Raw genomic sequence first — 18,391 nt, 5'->3', positions numbered from 1 at the left:
TATTTCCACTGTTTTCACTATTCTAAATAATGTCACAATTAATGTTATTGAGTCATAATCTTTATGATCCTCTAGGGATTTCCTTAGGTTAAATACTTAGAACTGCTGGATCAAAAATGTGCACACTTTAGAGAATTTTTTATCAGATTTACAAATATTCTAAGAGCAGAGTATATTCCTCCAACAGTGTGAGGAACTGATTCAGAAAATATGAATCAGTCCTGAGGCATTAGACAGGTAACACAGCGTCCATCCTTCCATCCATGAAAAGATATTTATTGAGTTCATACTCTATATTATGTGCTAGGAACACAGCAGGGAAATAGACAGATATAAACCCTACCCTCCCTGTACTCACAACCTAGTAGGGAAATCAGACAAGCAATTTGGATACTGATTAGTTTAGCCTTGTGACTGCTTTTATTCTGACAATATGTTCCATTTTAAGACAAGACTCCTGCCTTATTGCTGGGACTAAGCGTCTTATGTTGGAAACTGGGTACCCTGTTTCTCCCTCACCAGGGGCCATGTCTTATTCTCATAAATTCTCTTGGAAATACTATAGAATCCTGGAACAGTGGCTGGCCCTGCTGAGAGCATTTCCCTTTGTCTACACGAGTTACCCACCAGTCGTGCCAGACTCCAGCTGCACACTACCCCTTTTTTGGAAAAGCAATGAAAATCATGGCCACTTTTGGCTTCACTCTACTCTCTCTGTGCCAGGATCTATACCAACCACTTACTATAAATTACTTTATTTAATTTAAACAACAATGTTATGAGAGCAATACTGTTGTTATACCCTCACTTCACTGGGTTTACCTGGGTCTCTATCTCTGTCCTGATACTTGTCCTGCTAGGCTGAACACACCCTGGTCATCCACTGTTAGGCCCATCTCTGAAGGTCTGTCACACCCAAGGGACAGCTGGGGCCTGGCACTCTCCAGAATCTGCTCTGACAAGGTATCAGGTTGCCTGGGGGCACACCCAGCTCCACTGCAATGATTCCCAAAGCTGAACCAAAGACCACCAGCTGCAGAACCAAGTGAGGTCCTTCCTTAAATGACAAAATGTGTGTATAAAATGAAATACTATTCAGCGATAAAAAGAAATGGGGTACTGAGATATAGGCAAACCTCAAAATATGCTAAGAGAAATAAGCCAGAGGAACTGGACAAATATTGTATGATTCCACTTAGATGAAATATCTGGAATAGGTAGATTCACAAAGACAGAAAGCAGATAAGTGATTGCCAAAGGCAAGGAGGAGAGAGGAATAGGAGTGATTGCTTAATTGATATAGGGTCTCACTTGGGGGTAATAAAACTGTTTTGGGAAACAGACAGCGGTGATGGCTGCACGTGACTGTGAATGTACTAAATGTCACTGAATTGTTTATTTTAAGATAGTTCATTTTAATTTTATGTCATGTTTATCTCAATTTTTAAAAGGGGAGGAGGCAAGAATCTACTGAGTCAAAGTAGTTAGGCCCAGGAATGTCCTTTTGTACAAGCTCCCAGGTGATCTGGTACACACTAAAATTTGAAAAACATGCCTTAAATAAAACCTCCCAGTACAGCTACATAGAAATTGTCATCCAAAGGAATGCAAAAATTAAAAGCTTTTTTTTTTCAAAGCTTGAAGACAAGTCCTAAAGCAAAAGCATGGTTATAACTAGCACAAAGAGCCTAATGGTGAGGTGGCACCACTCAGCTGCCTGGTGCCATTATTTCCAGTTAGCAAGGCCTTCCAAGGGTTTGCCAAGACCACCTGCATGTGCATGTAACACAGTCACTGCAATGGGGGAAATGACGACAGAAAACAGGAGCAAGAGATACATGGTGATATGTGAAGAAGGACAAACCCTAGGCAAGAGGAGGAGGGATATTGACTAATCAATATGACCAAGCAAAGTAATGGTGCAGCTCCTACATAGCTCTGAATTAAAGTAAATGGGAATCAATGGGCTAAAAACCAAGGATTCAATAAAGCCATTAAGTCATGGCAATTCCTTTTGAGGCAAATTCATTCCTTCATGGCTCTGTCCCCTGTTCCTACCAAAAGTCAATACTCTCCTGGCAAGGGATTTGGGGGATGTGGCTCCCAATAAAGACTTTGTCACTATTTCACTCCACCTGTTTATCCCTAGGAGAGGGATTTCTTTGCTTCTGGCTTTTTTCCATCAGTATGTTGGTTTTGCTTCAACCCGTAAGTTAACTGATTTGTGTTTCAAGGGAAACAAAACCTAATCTCATCTGCTGACACCTGACAAGGGGCCAGGTCTCTCAGTGGTTAGTGCTGCTGTTGAAACCTTCCCAGGGAGCTATATCGAGTCACAGTGTGTCCCTCACACATGAACACATTAGCAAGGCACTCTGTGACAGGTGCTATGTTAAGAATATCCTATGTATTGTCCTATTTAACTCTTACCACAACCCCACAAGATTCATTTTATGGATTGGGAAACTGAGTCTTGAATGGTTTAGTAACTCCTAATGTCTCCTGACTCCAAAGCCTGCCTAATGACCACTAGACTCAGCAGTGTCCACATGCCTCCCTAACTAAAACCCTCCAAGTCTCCAGGAAATGAGTGAGTTGCCAATGACCCTTCCAAAGCAGCCACCCACACCCCACAGCAGTTAGAGAGGATTTCTGAGCACATTGGGCACACACAAAATAGTCTCCCAGGTATAAAGTCTTATGTTGAGAGGGGCACTGGCCAACAGACGTCCACAGTTGCTGAGCTCCTTTTTTTTTTTTTTCTGAGATGGAGTCTCGCTCTGTCACCCAGGCTGGAGTGCAGTGGCATGATCTTGGCTCACTGCAACCTCCACCTCCCGGGTTCAAGCAATTCTCCTACCTCAGCCTCCCAAGTAGCTGGGATTACAGGTGCATGTAACAACCACATCTGACTAATTTTTGTGTTTTTAGTAGAGACAGGGTTTCGACATGTTCGCCAGGCTGGTCTCAAACTCCTGCCCACCTCAGCCTCCCAGATGATCTGCCCACCTCAACCTCCCAAAGTGCTGGGATTACAGGCGTGAGCCACCGCACCCAGCCAACAGTCCCTGAGCTCTTATCAGCCAGAACGCTCACCAGCATACAGCCGGGTTAGGAGACAGGAAGAGAATGATTCTGGTGAGTGTGTGCTAAAGACTAACAACTTCGATTTGCTTGAAGGAGAACACACATGCTATGTATTAAGGTAAATGAAAGCTATTGCTTTGGATTCAAAGAACCTGGGCCCTAATTTCCAGCTCTTCCACTTCAGCTATGTGACCTCGGGCAGTTTTGACCTTGCTGAGACTGAATTCTCATTTGCAAATTGGAGGTGTTTATCTTGCACAGTGGTGGCTATGAAGAGTGAATGAGATATTTCACATAAGAGCATTTATCATGTGCCTGGCACAGAGTGAATCTTAAATCGTAGCTGCCATTATTTCCCAAAACCAGATGACTGCTTTGCCAATAAACAACCTACATGCTGCTTTAGACATGCCTGACAAATGTTAGAGCCTGTGTTTACATAGACCGGTGCGCACACAAACCCGGGTGTTCTTTCCTGCTAACCAGTGTGTAGCCTAGTTTACATAGCAGCCTCTCTGAACCTCATAGAGATAACAATATTGGCTACTGCATAAGTGTGTGGTCTGGAATGTTAAAAAGGGAGAGGCCTTCGTGAAAGCCTGCCAATTTTATAGCTTTGATCACCCATTATAATGCTTTCTTTGCCCAGAGTTTTAGACTTCATCATTTTTTCTGTCCCAATACTGCAAAATATGTTGATCAGGAATTAATGCAGTGCAATAGAACTCTGCAGGGCATGCAGCTAGCACCAAAGAAGCCAAGACTTACAGCTCGTGGCACTTGGAGCCACTGGCCACTAGGGGCCGTTGGTAAGCCACAGAAAGCTGGAAGGATGCCTACCTGTCAGGTTTTTAAAAATCACATTTCTTATACAAAAAGCTTTCTGGACTCTCAAAAATCCAGCTCAGGGTCCTTTTGCAGGGAGGGATGGCTTTATTTTCTATAAAGGCTTTAGTCCCATTTCTTTCTGGGACTGAAGAAAAGGGAAGATGAGTCTTAACGAGCTCTGACCTAGTCAGTGAGGCACATGGTTGGTTGGCTGGGGTGGGGTTGGTGGGACTTGTGTGGCAGTATTTGCACAATCCTGAGAGATCCTCCACCTGCAAGAATTCCCCCAATACCCAGTGACTGAAATCTCTTTATGTCTTATTAACACTATGAACTTCTAAAGCCCGGTGATAAATACAGATATTCAGGATGGGACCATGTGTCAGACCACGATTAGATGCGCGATACAGGAAAAGGAGTCAGTGCACACCAAAGAAAAGCATGCAAAGATAGAGCTCCTAAAAGTGGGTTTGAATTCTAGCTTAGCCACTTATTAGCTGTGAAAACTTGGGCAAGTTACTTAATCCCTCTAAGCTTCCATTTCCTTTGAAACCCCTATATCATAGGTTTGTTGCATGGGTTTAAATGAGAATGTATACAAAATTGTACACACATAGAAAGTCTAAGCAATTTTTATTAGTTGTTATTCTTCTTTTGTTGAGTGAAAGTAAGACTGGAATTCAAGGCTAGAGAGCAGACATGCTGTCAGGCAGTTGGGGTTGAGGAAGCAAAATGAGGGTACAAGGAAAGTTTAAAACGGGGATCCCCAAACCCCAGGCCACGGACGGACTGGTACCAGTCCATGACCTGTTAGGAAGTGGGCTGCACAGCAGGAGGTGAGCGGCAGGTGAGCGAGCATTACCGCCTGAGCTCCACCTCTTGTCAGATTAGTGGCAGCATTAGATTCTCATAGAAGTGCAAACCCTATTGTGAACTGAACATGCAAGGGATCTAGGTTGTGAGCTCTTTATGAGAATCTAATGCCTGATGATCTGAGGTGGAACAGTTTCATCCCCAAACCATCCTGACCCTGCCCCTCTATGCCCACCATCCATGGGAAAATTACACAAAACTGGTTCCTGGTGCCAAAAAGGTTGGGGGCCACTGGTTTAAAAGACAGAAGAAAGCCAAAGTAGATGTCTACAGCTCATTGAAGCCCAGATGAAGAAAGTAAAGAAGCCCCTAGATAGGTGTTCACATATTCAGAATTCTTTTATGGTTTGATTGTAAGATGTATACTGGTGCGTGCGTGTGTGTGTGTGTGTGTGTGTGTGTGTGTGAAGTTAGGGGTGTTAAAACTGTAGCTCAACTTTATATCCTAGATGCCAGAGAACTTGTAAAGTCCTCTAGAGCTAGGACACCAGAGGAAAAAAGGAACTAGAAAAATACCAGTTGGTAGACAGAGATCAGGGGAAATGAAGAAGGCTAAAAGACTACACAACTCTGGGTCTCATACCATGAGAAGCAAAGGAAATTAGGGCACACCTGCAGGAGGGCAAGTGGCTTGGGAGGGTACACAAACAGCCCCTGAAGAGAAGGTGAAGAAACATGGATGTTCTACTGGAAAAAGATAAACACAAAGGAAATTTGATCCCTATCTTTGGAGCACTGAAAGACAGTATGGGGAAATAGGAGAGACTGGCTGCCTTATACGTGGCCCCCAAAAGGTAGAGTTAGAATCAATGGGTGTCCAAGAGTTCAGAAATCCCCTAAGGTTATATCTCACCGCGCGCGCGCACGTGTGTGTGTGTGTGTGTGTGTGTGTGTGTGTGTTTAGGTACACACTAAACAAATGTACATCTTTTTGGAAAAAAGGATATTTAAAGCTTTCTTTATCAGATTTTCGTGACCTCAAAAACTTAAGAACTCTTGATATAAATAATAACAGCTAATATTTATCAAGCAATTACTAAGCACCAAGGACTGGGCCAAGTCTTTACATAAGTTATTAAATCCTCACAAGAATCCTCAAGAGGCGGAATAGCTGACTATGAACGCAGGCCTTGGAGCCAGTCTGCTTTAGTTTATATATCAATTCTGTCATTAACTAGCTACATAACCTCTGGCAACTCACTTTCTCACTTCCCTCATTACAAAATGGGGATAATAATAACCACCTCAAAAGGTGTGAGAATTAATTAGTATTAGGGTGGTGCAAAAGTAATTGAGGTTTTTGGTACGGTAATAGCAAAAAATTTTGGTATTGGAATGTCAAAAACTGCAATTACTTTTGTACCAACCTACTATATGTAAAGATTTTGGACAACATCTGACAAATAGTATGCTTCCTAACTACTATCACTTTCTAACTATTAACACTCATTGGTGTGCTGGTCAATGTTTTAAAACAAGCTCTCGAAGAGAAGAAAGAAAAGAGAAACTCTAAGTTGTAATATTCGACAATTTCTGTAGTATAAATATTCCCACCTAGATCCATTTCAAGCTAGCAAAGTGAAATCAACCAGCTCACAAAATTCTTAAACAATTAACAACTGGCTTTCATGAGATAGTACAGGATAGCTCCAGCACACCACTACATTAAAGTTTTTTCTTACTCTCTCTCTTTCTTACTAAGTGCTGGCTGGAAATGGTTCCCTGGTTCCTTGAAGGAGCAGAGTTTATGTAGAACTGAGAGAAGCAATGCTCATTTTCTGTTAGAAGATGCAGGTTAGAGAAAGGAAGTATAAGAGAGTCTGGCAAGAGAACAAAAACCTGTTTGGGTCAAGCAATATTTCTGAAAATGATGGGCATGATCTTTCTTGGGGTAAGAGGGAATTAAACAGCTACCATATACTAAGGGCTTATTACTTGCAAACCTTCATTATTTCATTTAATTCTGACAACAGCCCTTTAAGGTAGATGGTTGTACTTGCCCCAGATTCACAGAGGAGAAAAGGGGGCTCAAAGACATTAGGAAACTCTTCCAGGTGGGACAAGAGCTGAGAGTCAAGCTTAGCTAAGGGCCCAAGCCTGCGTGACCCTAGAGCCTGAAATCATTCCACTTTTCTATATTGCTGCTTAAGCAACAGGGAAATATCCCGGGAAGGCAACTTGGGTTCACCCCCAGTGGAAAGGGGCATCCCCAAAACCCTGGGTAAATTCTATAGGTGGTGCATCAATTTTTACAATCTCTCCAGCAGTCCTGTTCCAGAAAGCCCTTTCATAGATGGGTCCTCCAAGCTTCTCCATGATCAGAAGGCTCCTTAGCCACCCAAATCTCCAAGACCTTTCTACTGCTGCCACCATGGGATTACTCTCCCGGTGCTTCTCTGGGACTACCAGTATCTCATGCCCTTATCCTTCCAGAATCCCTCTCGACAATCAGTTTAGGTACCCAACTTGAGGTCATTTGGGATAGCTGCAATCGTGGAGCCATATAGTCAGGTAGTATAGGAAGACATGCAAAAATGCTGAGCCTTCAACCATCCCTGAAGGCACTCTCTTTCCTCTAGAGAGGCCATACAGGGTGTAATTTGTATGACAGATCCTGCAGTTACATTGCTCAGCTCCAATCATGGCTCTGTATTTGCTAATAATGTGACTTTGGGCAATTTACATAACTTCTATGTGCCCCAGTCTGTTCAAATATGAAATGGATAACAATAGGGTCCTCTTCAAAGCACTATTGTGAGGAATCAATAAAATAACATGTAAAGGGGTATTAAAAGGGGCTTAAATTGATGGTATAAACAAGTTTTACACTCAATAAATGTTAAGCATTATAGCTTGCCCATAGATCCATCTGCCAAATCCATTTTTTAAAAAGGTATTGTCGGGGGGAGGAGCCAAGATGGCCGAATAGGAACAGCTCCAGTCTACAGCTCCCAGCGTGAGCGACGCAGAAGACGGGTGATTTCTGCATTTCCATCTGAGGTACCGGGTTCATCTCACTAGGGAGTGCCAGACAGTGGGCGCAGGCCAGTGTGTGCGCGCACCGTGCGCGAGCCGAAGCAGGGCGAGGCATTGCCTCACCTGGGAAGCGCAAGGGGTCAGGGAGTTCCCTTTCCGAGTCAAAGAAAGGGGTGACGGACGCACCTGGAAAATCGGGTCACTCCCACCCGAATATTGCGCTTTTCAGACCGGCTTAAAAAACGGCGCACCACGAGACTATATCCCACACCTGGCTGAGAGGGTCCTACGCCCACGGAATCTCACTGATTGCTAGCACAGCAGTCTGAGATCAAACTGCCAGGCGGCAACGAGGCTGGGGGAGGGGCGCCCGCCATTGCCCAGGCTTGCTTAGGTAAACAAAGCAGCCAGGAAGCTCGAACTGGGTGGAGCCCACCACAGCTCAAGGAGGCCTGCCTGCCTCTGTAGGCTCCACCTCTGGGGGCAGGGCACAGACAAACAAAAAGACAGCAGTAACCTCTGCAGACTTAAGTGTCCCTGTCTGACAGCTTTGAAGAGAGCAGTGGTTCTCCCAGCACGCAGCTGGAGATCTGAGAACGGGCAGACTGCCTCCTCAAGTGGGTCCCTGACCCCTGACCCCCGAGCAGCCTAACTGGGAGGCACCCCCCAGCAGGGGCACACTGACACCTCACACGGCAGGGTATTCCAACAGACCTGCAGCTGAGGGTCCTGTCTGTTAGAAGGAAAACTAACAACCAGAAAGGACATCTACACCGAAAACCCATCTGTACATCACCATCATCAAAGACCAAAAGTAGATAAAACCACAAAGATGGGGAAAAAACAGAACAGAAAAACTGGAAACTCTAAAACGCAGAGCACCTCTCCTCCTCCAAAGGAACGCAGTTCCTCACCAGCAACGGAACAAAGCTGGATGGAGAATGATTTTGACGAGCTGAGAGAAGAAGGCTTCAGACGATCAAATTACTCTGAGCTACGGGAGGACATTCAAACCAAAGGCAAAGAAGTTGAAAACTTTGAAAAAAATTTAGAAGAATGTATAACTAGAATAACCAATACAGAGAAGTGCTTAAAGGAGCTGATGGAGCTGAAAACCAAGGCTCGAGAACTACGTGAAGAATGCAGAAGCCTCAGGAGCCGATGCGATCAACTGGAAGAAAGGGTATCAGCAATGGAAGATGAAATGAATGAAATGAAGCGAGAAGGGAAGTTTAGAGAAAAAAGAATAAAAAGAAATGAGCAAAGCCTCCAAGAAATATGGGACTATGTGAAAAGACCAAATCTACATCTGATTGGTGTACCTGAAAGTGATGTGGAGAATGGAACCAAGTTGGAAAACACTCTGCAGGATATTATCCAGGAGAACTTCCCCAATCTAGCAAGGCAGGCCAACGTTCAGATTCAGGAAATACAGAGAACGCCACAAAGTTTCTCCTCGAGAAGAGCAACTCCAAGACACATAATTGTCAGATTCACCAAAGTTGAAATGAAGGAAAAAATATTAAGGGCAGCCAGAGAGAAAGGTCGGGTTACCCTCAAAGGAAAGCCCATCAGACTAACAGCGGATCTCTCGGCAGAAACCCTACAAGCCAGAAGAGAGTGGGGGCCAATATTCAACATTCTTAAAGAAAAGAATTTTCAACCCAGAATTTCATATCCAGCCAAACTAAGCTTCATAAGTGAAGGAGAAATAAAATACTTTATAGACAAGCAAATGCTGAGAGATTTTGTCACCACCAGGCCTGCCCTAAAAGAGCTCCTGAAGGAAGTGCTAAACATGGAAAGGAAAAACCGGTACCAGCCACTGCAAAATCATGCCAAAATGTAAAGACCATCGAGACTAGGAAGAAACTGCATCAACTAACGAGCAAAATCACCAGCTAACATCATAATGACAGGATCAAATTCACACATAACAGTATTAACTTTAAATATAAATGGACTAAATTCTGCAATTAAAAGACACAGACTGGCAAGTTGGATAAAGAGTCAAGACCCATCAGTGTGCTGTATTCAGGAAACCCATCTCACGTGCAGAGACACACATAGGCTCAAAATAAAAGGATGGAGGAAGATCTACCAAGCCAATGGAAAACAAAAAAAGGCAGGGGTTGCAATCCTAGTCTCTGATAAAACAGACTTTAAACCAACAAAGATCAAAAGAGACAAAGAAGGCCATTACATAATGGTAAAGGGATCAATTCAACAAGAGGAGCTAACTATCCTAAATATTTATGCACCCAATACAGGAGCACCCAGATTCATAAAGCAAGTCCTGAGTGACCTACAAAGAGACTTAGACTCCCACACATTAATAATGGGAGACTTTAACACCCCACTGTCAACATTAGACAGATCAACGAGACAGAAAGTCAACAAGGATACCCAGGAATTGAACTCAGCTCTGCACCAAGCGGACCTAATAGACATCTACAGAACTCTCCACCCCAAATCAACAGAATATACATTTTTTTCAGCACCACACCACACCTATTCCAAAATTGACCACATAGTTGGAAGTAAAGCTCTCCTCAGCAAATGTAAAAGAACACAAATTATAACAAACTATCTCTCAGACCACAGTGCAATCAAACTAGAACTCAGGATTAAGAATCTCACTCAAAGCCGCTCAACTACATGGAAACTGAACAACCTGCTCCTGAATGACTACTGGGTACATAACGAAATGAAGGCAGAAATAAAGATGTTCTTTGAAACCAACGAGAACAAAGACACCACATACCAGAATCTCTGTGACGCATTCAAAGCAGTGTGTAGAGGGAAATTTATAGCACTAAATGCCTACAAGAGAAAGCAGGAAAGATCCAAAATTGACACCCTAACATCACAATTAAAAGAACTAGAAAAGCAAGAGCAAACATATTCAAAAGCTAGCAAAGGCAAGAAATAACTAAAATCAGAGGAGAACTGAAGGAAATAGAGACACAAAAAACCCTTCAAAAAATCAATGAATCCAGGAGCTGGTTTTTTTGAAAGGATCAACAAAATTGATAGACCGCTAGCAAGACTAATAAAGAAAAAAAGAGAGAAGAATCAAATAGACACAATAAAAAATGATAAAGGGGATATCACCACTGATCCCACAGAAATACAAACTACCATCAGAGAATACTACAAACACCTCTACGCAAATAAACTAGAAAATCTAGAAGAAATGGATACATTCCTCGACACATACACTCTCCCAAGACTAAACCAGGAAGAAGTTGAATCTCTGAATAGACCAATAACAGGCTCTGAAATTGTGGCAATAATCAATAGTTTACCAACCAAAAAGAGTCCAGGACCAGATGGGTTCACAGCTGAATTCTACCAGAGGTACAAGGAGGAACTGGTACCATTCCTTCTGAAACTATTCCAATCAATAGAAAAAGAGGGAATCCTCCCTAACTCATTTTATGAGGCCAGCATCATTCTGATACCAAAGCCGGGCAGAGACACAACCAAAAAAGAGAATTTTAGACCAATATCCTTGATGAACATTGACGCAAAAATCCTCAATAAAATACTGGCAAACCAAATCCAGCAGCACATCAAAAAGCTTATCCACCATGATCAAGTGGGCTTCATCCCTGGGATGCAAGGCTGGTTCAATATACGCAAATCAATAAATGTAATCCAGCATATAAACAGAGCCAAAGACAAAAACCACATGATTATCTCAATAGATGCAGAAAAAGCCTTTGACAAAATTCAACAACGCTTCATGCTAAAAACTCTCATTAAATTAGGTATTGATGGGACGTATTTCAAAATAATAAGAGCTATCTATGACAAACCCACAGCCAATATCATACTGAATGGGCAAAAACTGGAAGCATTCCCTTTGAAAACTGGCACAAGACAGGGATGCCCTCTCTCACCGCTCCTATTCAACATAGTGTTGGAAGTTCTGGCCAGGGCAATCAGGCAGGAGAAGGAAATAAAGGGTATTCAATTAGGAAAAGAGGAAGTCAAATTGTCCCTGTTTGCAGACAACATGATTGTTTATCTAGAAAACCCCATCGTCTCAGCCCAAAATCTCCTTAAGCTGATAAGCAACTTCAGCAAAGTCTCAGGATACAAAATCAATGTACAAAAATCACAAGCATTCTTATACACCAACAACAGACAAACAGAGAGCCAAATCATGAGTGAACTCCCATTCACAATTGCTTCAAAGAGAATAAAATACCTAGGAATCCAACTTACAAGGGATGTGAAGGACCTCTTCAAGGAGAACTACAAACCACTGCTCAAGGAAATAAAAGAGGACACAAACAAATGGAAGAACATTCCATGCTCATGGGTAGGAAGAATCAATATCGTGAAAATGGCCATACTGCCCAAGGTAATTTACAGATTCAATGCCATCCCCATCAAGCTACCAATGACTTTCTTCACAGAATTGGAAAAAACTACTTTAAAGTTCATATGGAACCAAAAAAGAGCCCGCATCGCCAAGTCAATCCTAAGCCAAAAGAACAAAGCTGGAGGCATCACACTACCTGACTTCAAACTATACTACAAGGCTACAGTAACCAAAACAGCATGGTACTGGTACCAAAACAGAGATATAGATCAATGGAACAGAACAGAGCCCTCAGAAATAATGCCGCATATCTACAACTATCTGATCTTTGACAAACCTGAGAAAAACAAGCAATGGGGAAAGGATTCCCTATTTAATAAATGGTGCTGGGAAAACTGGCTAGCCATATGTAGAAAGCTGAAACTGGATCCCTTCCTTACACCTTATACAAAAATCAATTCAAGATGGATTAAAGATTTAAACGTTAGACCTAAAACCATAAAAACCCTAGAAGAAAACCTAGGCATTACCATTCAGGACATAGGCGTGGGCAAGGACTTCATGTCCAAAACACCAAAAGCAATGGCAACAAAAGCCAAAATTGACAAATGGGATCTAATTAAACTAAAGAGCTTCTGCACAGCAAAAGAAACTACCATCAGAGTGAACAGGCAACCTACAACATGGGAGAAAATTTTCGCAACCTACTCATCTGACAAAGGGCTAATATCCAGAATCTACAATGAACTCAAACAAATTTACAAGAAAAAAACAAACAACCCCATCAAAAAGTGGGTGAAGGACATGAACAGACACTTCTCAAAAGAAGACATTTATGCAGCCAAAAAACACATGAAAAAATGCTCATCATCACTGGCCATCAGAGAAATGCAAATCAAAACCACTATTAGATATCATCTCACACCAGTTAGAATGGCAATCATTAAAAAGTCAGGAAACAACAGGTGCTGGAGAGGATGTGGAGAAATAGGAACACTTTTACACTGTTGGTGGGACTGTAAACTAGTTCAACCATTGTGGAAGTCAGTGTGGCGATTCCTCAGGGATCTAGAACTAGAAATACCATTTGACCCAGCCATCCCATTACTGGGTATATACCCAAATGACTATAAATCATGCTGCTATAAAGACACATGCACACGTATGTTTATTGCGGCATTATTCACAATAGCAAAGACTTGGAACCAACCCAAATGTCCAACAATGATAGACTGGATTAAGAAAATGTGGCACATATACACCATGGAATACTATGCAGCCATAAAAAATGATGAGTTCATGTCCTTTGTAGGGACATGGATGAAATTGGAAACCATCCTTCTCAGTAAACCATCGCAAGAACAAAAAACCAAACACCGCCTATTCTCACTCATAGGTGGGAATTGAACAATGAGATCACATGGACACAGGAAGGGGAATATCACACTCTGGGGACTGTGGTGGGGTCGGGGGAGGGGGGAGGGATAGCATTGGGAGATATACCTAATGCTAGATGACACGTTAGTGGGTGCAGCGCACCAGCATGGCACATGTATACATATGTAACTAACCTGCACAATGTGCACATGTACCCTAAAACTTAAAGTATAATAATAATAAAAAAAAAGAAAAAAAAAAGATTAAAAATAAAAAATAAAAAAATTAAAAAAAAAAAAAAAGGTATTGTCATCCCCATTCTGGAACTCTGGTCCTAGGACATTTTGACTTACTTTTATTTACCCACAACCAGTTGTTAGTCTTTTGGAAAGTTAATGATCACTTTGAAAAACGAAATGTATGTGCCTTCTGTTTAGCACAATATACATATGAAATATATGTATATATACATATAAAATATTCAGTGAAATATACCTATAAAAACTTTTCAGGGGAGTGTCTTGGCCTTCTAAAGCCCATACTTGGCCATGCTCACAAAACTAAAATCCCCTGCCTTCCATTTAATAATGTCCATCCTTGATTTAACTCTCAGCGTGTTACTTCTTCCTGCTCCTTTCCTATTTTTACCTGTTTTCTTCAATTCTTGCTACATGCAAGGGTTTTCAGCCGTTCCCTTCTTGCCTGCCTCCATCCCCCCATTAAGCAACATAGCTCCATAACTACTAAAAATAAAAATATTTGGGTCAATAATTTCAAGTATACATTGCCAGAGCTAAAAAAAAATAGTTGCAATATTATACAGGGAAGATCCTAAATTATCTTCCCCTCTAATAATTACAATTCCTCAGACTCCAATTTACATGCTATCTTGTCACGTCTACTTCTACCATATCTGAAGCCAACTCTTAGTTCATAATAATGCCTCCAAGTACAGGGCAAACTTGTTACTGTAGCTTATAGCATCTTTTCTTCCATGAGAATATATCCACAATATCTCTTCCAAAGGTAGCACTTCATTGGGGTCTATGCTGAAATTCAGCAGGTACCCAGAGATAAAACATTGTTTCTATAAGTGATCAACATGTTTAATCAATGGAAAGACCCTGGACTTTTTCCTGTCATGTAGAACTATATATACTACATGTGAGACCTTAGGCAAGTCCCTCTGAGCCTTGCCTTAGTTATCTGTAAAATGGGAATATGAATAGGAGTAAGGGTGATGGTAAGCACTGGATAAGAAAGCCTGTATTTACCACCCAGGAGTCATTTATCAGTTGAACACCTATTAATTAAGAACTTGCTATGAGTTGGCTGTCACACTGACACTAAGAATGCAACTATGAGATAGATGTATTGCATGCCCTAAAGTTGCTTGCCGTGTTTTCAGGAAAGCAGATCTTGGCAACTGTATGTTGGAAGAATACACAGGATGTTCTAGGAACCCAGAGAAGGAACACTCAGAAAAATACTTAGCACACAATAAGCACAATAGCAAATGTCAGTTCTCTTCCTCCCTTAGCTGACAGGTAGACAGACCTTCCAGTAACAAAACGAATAATCTTTTTACAGATAGTGGGTGCCCTAGAGGGTAAGTTGTTGGTAATGCCTGTCTTCTCAGACACTAACAGGTGTCATCTCCCATCATCCATCCAAAAAAAAGCAAGCGGGGGAAATCCCCAAAGCTTCCTTAGGCAGAGGAAAAAGAGCCATTTAGAACAAATGAGTTGAGCCCAACTGTTCACTCCATTCATTAGAAGACGTCATTGTCCTTATCTTGTGGCCAGGAGAGCAATAAGAAAGAAAACAGCCAGGAAAATTAATTAGGGCCCAGATAATTTTAGTAAAATGTTATTAGAGGTCAGTGTAAATTGTGGGGAGGGGAAGATGTACTGCCTCTGGGACACCTAGTCCTGTTTTAACTGGATGGCTCAGGTCTAACCAGTCCAAAAAAACACCCACTGACTCCCAAGCATTGCTTGTAGGGCTTATTTGCTTATAGTTGAATCATATTTCTTAGCCTTCTTCCTCCAACTTGCACCTTGCCCAACATCTGCTCCCATCCCACTTTTCTTAATGACCCCCTGTCTTCCATTCCAGGAGCCCCTACCTGAAGCACATTTGTGGCACTTTCTCTGTTAGACAAGTGCCCAGACAAGAACCAGGCTTTTGGTCCCAGATTCTGCCACTAATCTACCATAACACTTTGGGCAAATCTATCCTCCTCACTTGGTCTCAGTTTTCTTATGTGTAAAATGGGAAAGCTGGAATCGACTTTTCATTATCTCTATTATCTTTCTACTATATTTGATTCTAAAAAAAAGGTACATGCATGTCCTATGATTTCAATAGAACAGTTTTAATAGCTGATGAGTAAGCACCCTTACCTGACATTAGATAACAGGATGGTATTGCTTTATGTTTGCTCCCATTGAAAATTCAAATCCAAGTGTTTTCATCCATTTTGTGCTGCTATAACAGAATATCTAAGATTGGGATATTTATAAAGAACAGAGATATATTTCTGGCAGTTCTTGAGGATGAAAAGTCCAAGGTCAAGAGGCCACACATCTGGTGAGGGCCTTCTTGCTGCATCATTTCATGGTTGAAGGCAGAAGGGCAAGAGAGGAAGAGATCAAACTCACAGCCTCAGTCTCTTTTATAATCAGTGTTAATCCATTAAAGAGGGTGGAGTTCCATGACCTAACCACCTCCCATTAGACCCTACCTCTCAACACTGTTGTATTGGGGATTAAGTTTCCAACACAGGAACTTTAGAAAATATATTCAAACCATAACACAAAGTAAAGGAGTTGACTTCTCTGCCAGATATCTGATGTGAGCTAGCTTTCTCTTTCGAGCTTCCCGCTCATCCTTCCACAGCCCTGTCAACATCCCAGCTTTCCTTCACCTGTATTGCTGGATTAGTTCCTTACATTGGTGTAGTATCTTATTCTTATAAAGGAAAGCAAGGCTGAGAAAACTTAATGGAATTGTTAAAGTCATGTATCAATTAAGTGATAGTCTAAACTCAGACTCAAATCTAACCATCGCTTTTTTCACTGTATTACAATGCTCCTCTTAGACAGCATTAGAAATTTCAAAACTGATAGTTCGACATTTCAAAACTAACATTCTAACAGTCTAGGATGGCAAGAGGGTGATACTAATTTAAAAATCACTAATGATTCCAGTCTAAAAAATAATTCAGTAATGAATAAAAGTATAGGAAAGACAAAGACCAGGTATGTAAGGAAGGAAAACAAGCAATTTTTCTTTGGCTTCACCAAAGAAGGTGAAACCAACTCTAATGGAGCTAAATCAGCTCCTTGGCAATAGGAAAAAATATTGCAAATGCAGTTTTGAGATTAAATTTTTTAAAAAGAGCAATGTAAGGATTTTTTCCTTCTCTTTTAGTTTTTTTATTTGCTCTTTTATTAATATTCTATATTTCATAGTTACAGAAAAAACCTCCTATTGCATAGTGAAAATAAATTGGTAACATCAGCATTTTCTCTTCACAGCTGGGTCCCAGGTTGGTAATGTTTTTCTCCCATAAAACCATAATCCTATAAAATTTAAGGTTATTAAGTTGCAGGTGAATAATTCATGAAGCAATTATAAAACATTTATGATGGAATATTGTGAGCTTCCAAATAAAAGAAAACATTTGGGGTCGCCAAATTGACAAACTTTGGGAGCTGCGTTTAGATCTCCCCTGAGGGACTGAGATGGGCCTTCTCTGCGCTTTGCAGCCTTGGACATTCAGAGACAGACTAAAGTCTCTCCAAGAGATTTCTGAAAGACACCTCAACAACTCAGTCAGCCGTTGTCACAATCAACTGAAGAGATGTAAGTACTGCCTGCTGATAATAATAATGGTGAGAAGAACAAAGCTTTGGAGAGTATATTCTGTGTTAGGCACTGTGAAAATCACTTTACATGCATTAGGGCACTAATCCTCACAATGACTCTCTAAAATCAACATTACTCTTATCAGCCCCATTATTTTGCCCATGAAACAGGATCAACAAGCTTAATAACTTGCCAAAGATCACATATGCAGCCAGTGGCTGAGCTGAGATTCAAACTCAAGCAGTCTAACCCTTGAGCTGCTACTCTTAATCACAATGATGTACAGCCAGGCAAGACAGGGGCTGGAGAATGAGGAATTATGACATCACTAATGTGTCATTTACACACAGTTTGTCCTATTCGTCGAGGCATTTTTACATGTATTATTCGATCTTCACAGGCTTCTACAGCATTATTGTTGGGTATTGTCGGACAGATGTTATTGTCTCCATTTTGCAGATGAGTAAACTGAAGTCCAGAAAAGTTAAGTGACCCAGTTAAGGTCACATAGCAAGTCAGTAGAGGAACCATAACTATAGCTTGAGGGCTTAATTCTATTGATGTATCCTGCATAAAATAACAGAGCTAGAGAAGAGTTTCCTTGCCAAACCTCCCATTCAATACAGCATCTCTGAAGACAGATCTCCCAATTTCTATTTGAGCACCCCCAGTTATAACAACCTCCTTGATTAGTGCAAAAATGCCTTCCACTGTTGTGAAATTCTGAAAGGCTTTTTATCCTGTCAGTATTTGTCTCCTTACAACAGACTATTGTTTCATCTAGAAGGACATAAATCTTCTCGCTTCTCCTTTCTGCAGTCACATACCACTTCCTCATAGCAGGGTTTTCTCCCATCACTTTCAGCTTAACATCTTTACCCTGCAAACTTCAATTATTCTTTATATTCCATGTGTTTTTAACCTATCTCCCTTCTTGTCTCTCTGGATGTGCCCCAACATGTTAATGCTTCCTTCCAAACAAAATTGAAACTTATCTCCAGTGACATGTTTGGAGCTGAGTACTCTCTCCCTCCTACGTGGAAC

At 41.4% G+C, this 18,391-nt stretch overlaps 1 long non-coding RNA gene across 1 annotated transcript in view, besides 4 other annotated features; it reads right to left on the bottom strand.

Annotated features, from left to right (window-relative positions):
• Positions 1-16,076, bottom strand: part of LOC105378237 (uncharacterized) — a 40,775-nt gene extending 24,699 nt beyond the window's left edge. Inside the window, exon 1 of the long non-coding RNA XR_944433.2 lies at positions 15,880-16,076. This is a non-coding gene — a long non-coding RNA (uncharacterized LOC105378237). The remainder of the gene's footprint in view (positions 1-15,879) is intronic.
• Positions 2,965-3,134: an enhancer, noted in NCBI's record as "experimental_82574 CRE fragment used in MPRA reporter constructs". NCBI's record gives its function as "activates a minimal promoter by MPRAs in K562 erythroleukemia cells, with activity observed for both the introgressed and non-introgressed 5:151730255 or rs114133296 variant alleles {active_cell/tissue: K562}" and the evidence as "EXISTENCE:reporter gene assay evidence [ECO:0000049][PMID:34662402]".
• Position 3,049: a transcriptional cis regulatory region, noted in NCBI's record as "Neanderthal adaptively introgressed variant 5:151730255 (GRCh37/hg19 assembly coordinates) or rs114133296 in the experimental_82574 CRE". NCBI's record gives its function as "modulates activity of the experimental_82574 enhancer by MPRAs in K562 erythroleukemia cells {active_cell/tissue: K562}" and the evidence as "EXISTENCE:reporter gene assay evidence [ECO:0000049][PMID:34662402]".
• Positions 3,807-3,906: a silencer, noted in NCBI's record as "silent region_16530". NCBI's record gives its function as "represses an Ori minimal core promoter by ATAC-STARR-seq in GM12878 lymphoblastoid cells {active_cell/tissue: GM12878}" and the evidence as "EXISTENCE:reporter gene assay evidence [ECO:0000049][PMID:35858748]".
• Positions 7,911-8,513: an enhancer, noted in NCBI's record as "NANOG-H3K27ac-H3K4me1 hESC enhancer chr5:151724791-151725393 (GRCh37/hg19 assembly coordinates)". NCBI's record gives its function as "activates a minimal SCP1, AML or CMV promoter by ChIP-STARR-seq in primed H9 embryonic stem cells {active_cell/tissue: H9 hESC(primed)}" and the evidence as "EXISTENCE:reporter gene assay evidence [ECO:0000049][PMID:30033119]".
• Positions 16,077-18,391: the final 2,315 nt, after the last annotated feature.

Source organism: Homo sapiens, chromosome 5 (assembly GCF_000001405.40).
Source record: "Homo sapiens chromosome 5, GRCh38.p14 Primary Assembly".
NCBI lineage: Eukaryota > Metazoa > Chordata > Mammalia > Primates > Hominidae > Homo > Homo sapiens.
This window is presented reverse-complemented; position numbering and strand designations above follow the sequence as displayed.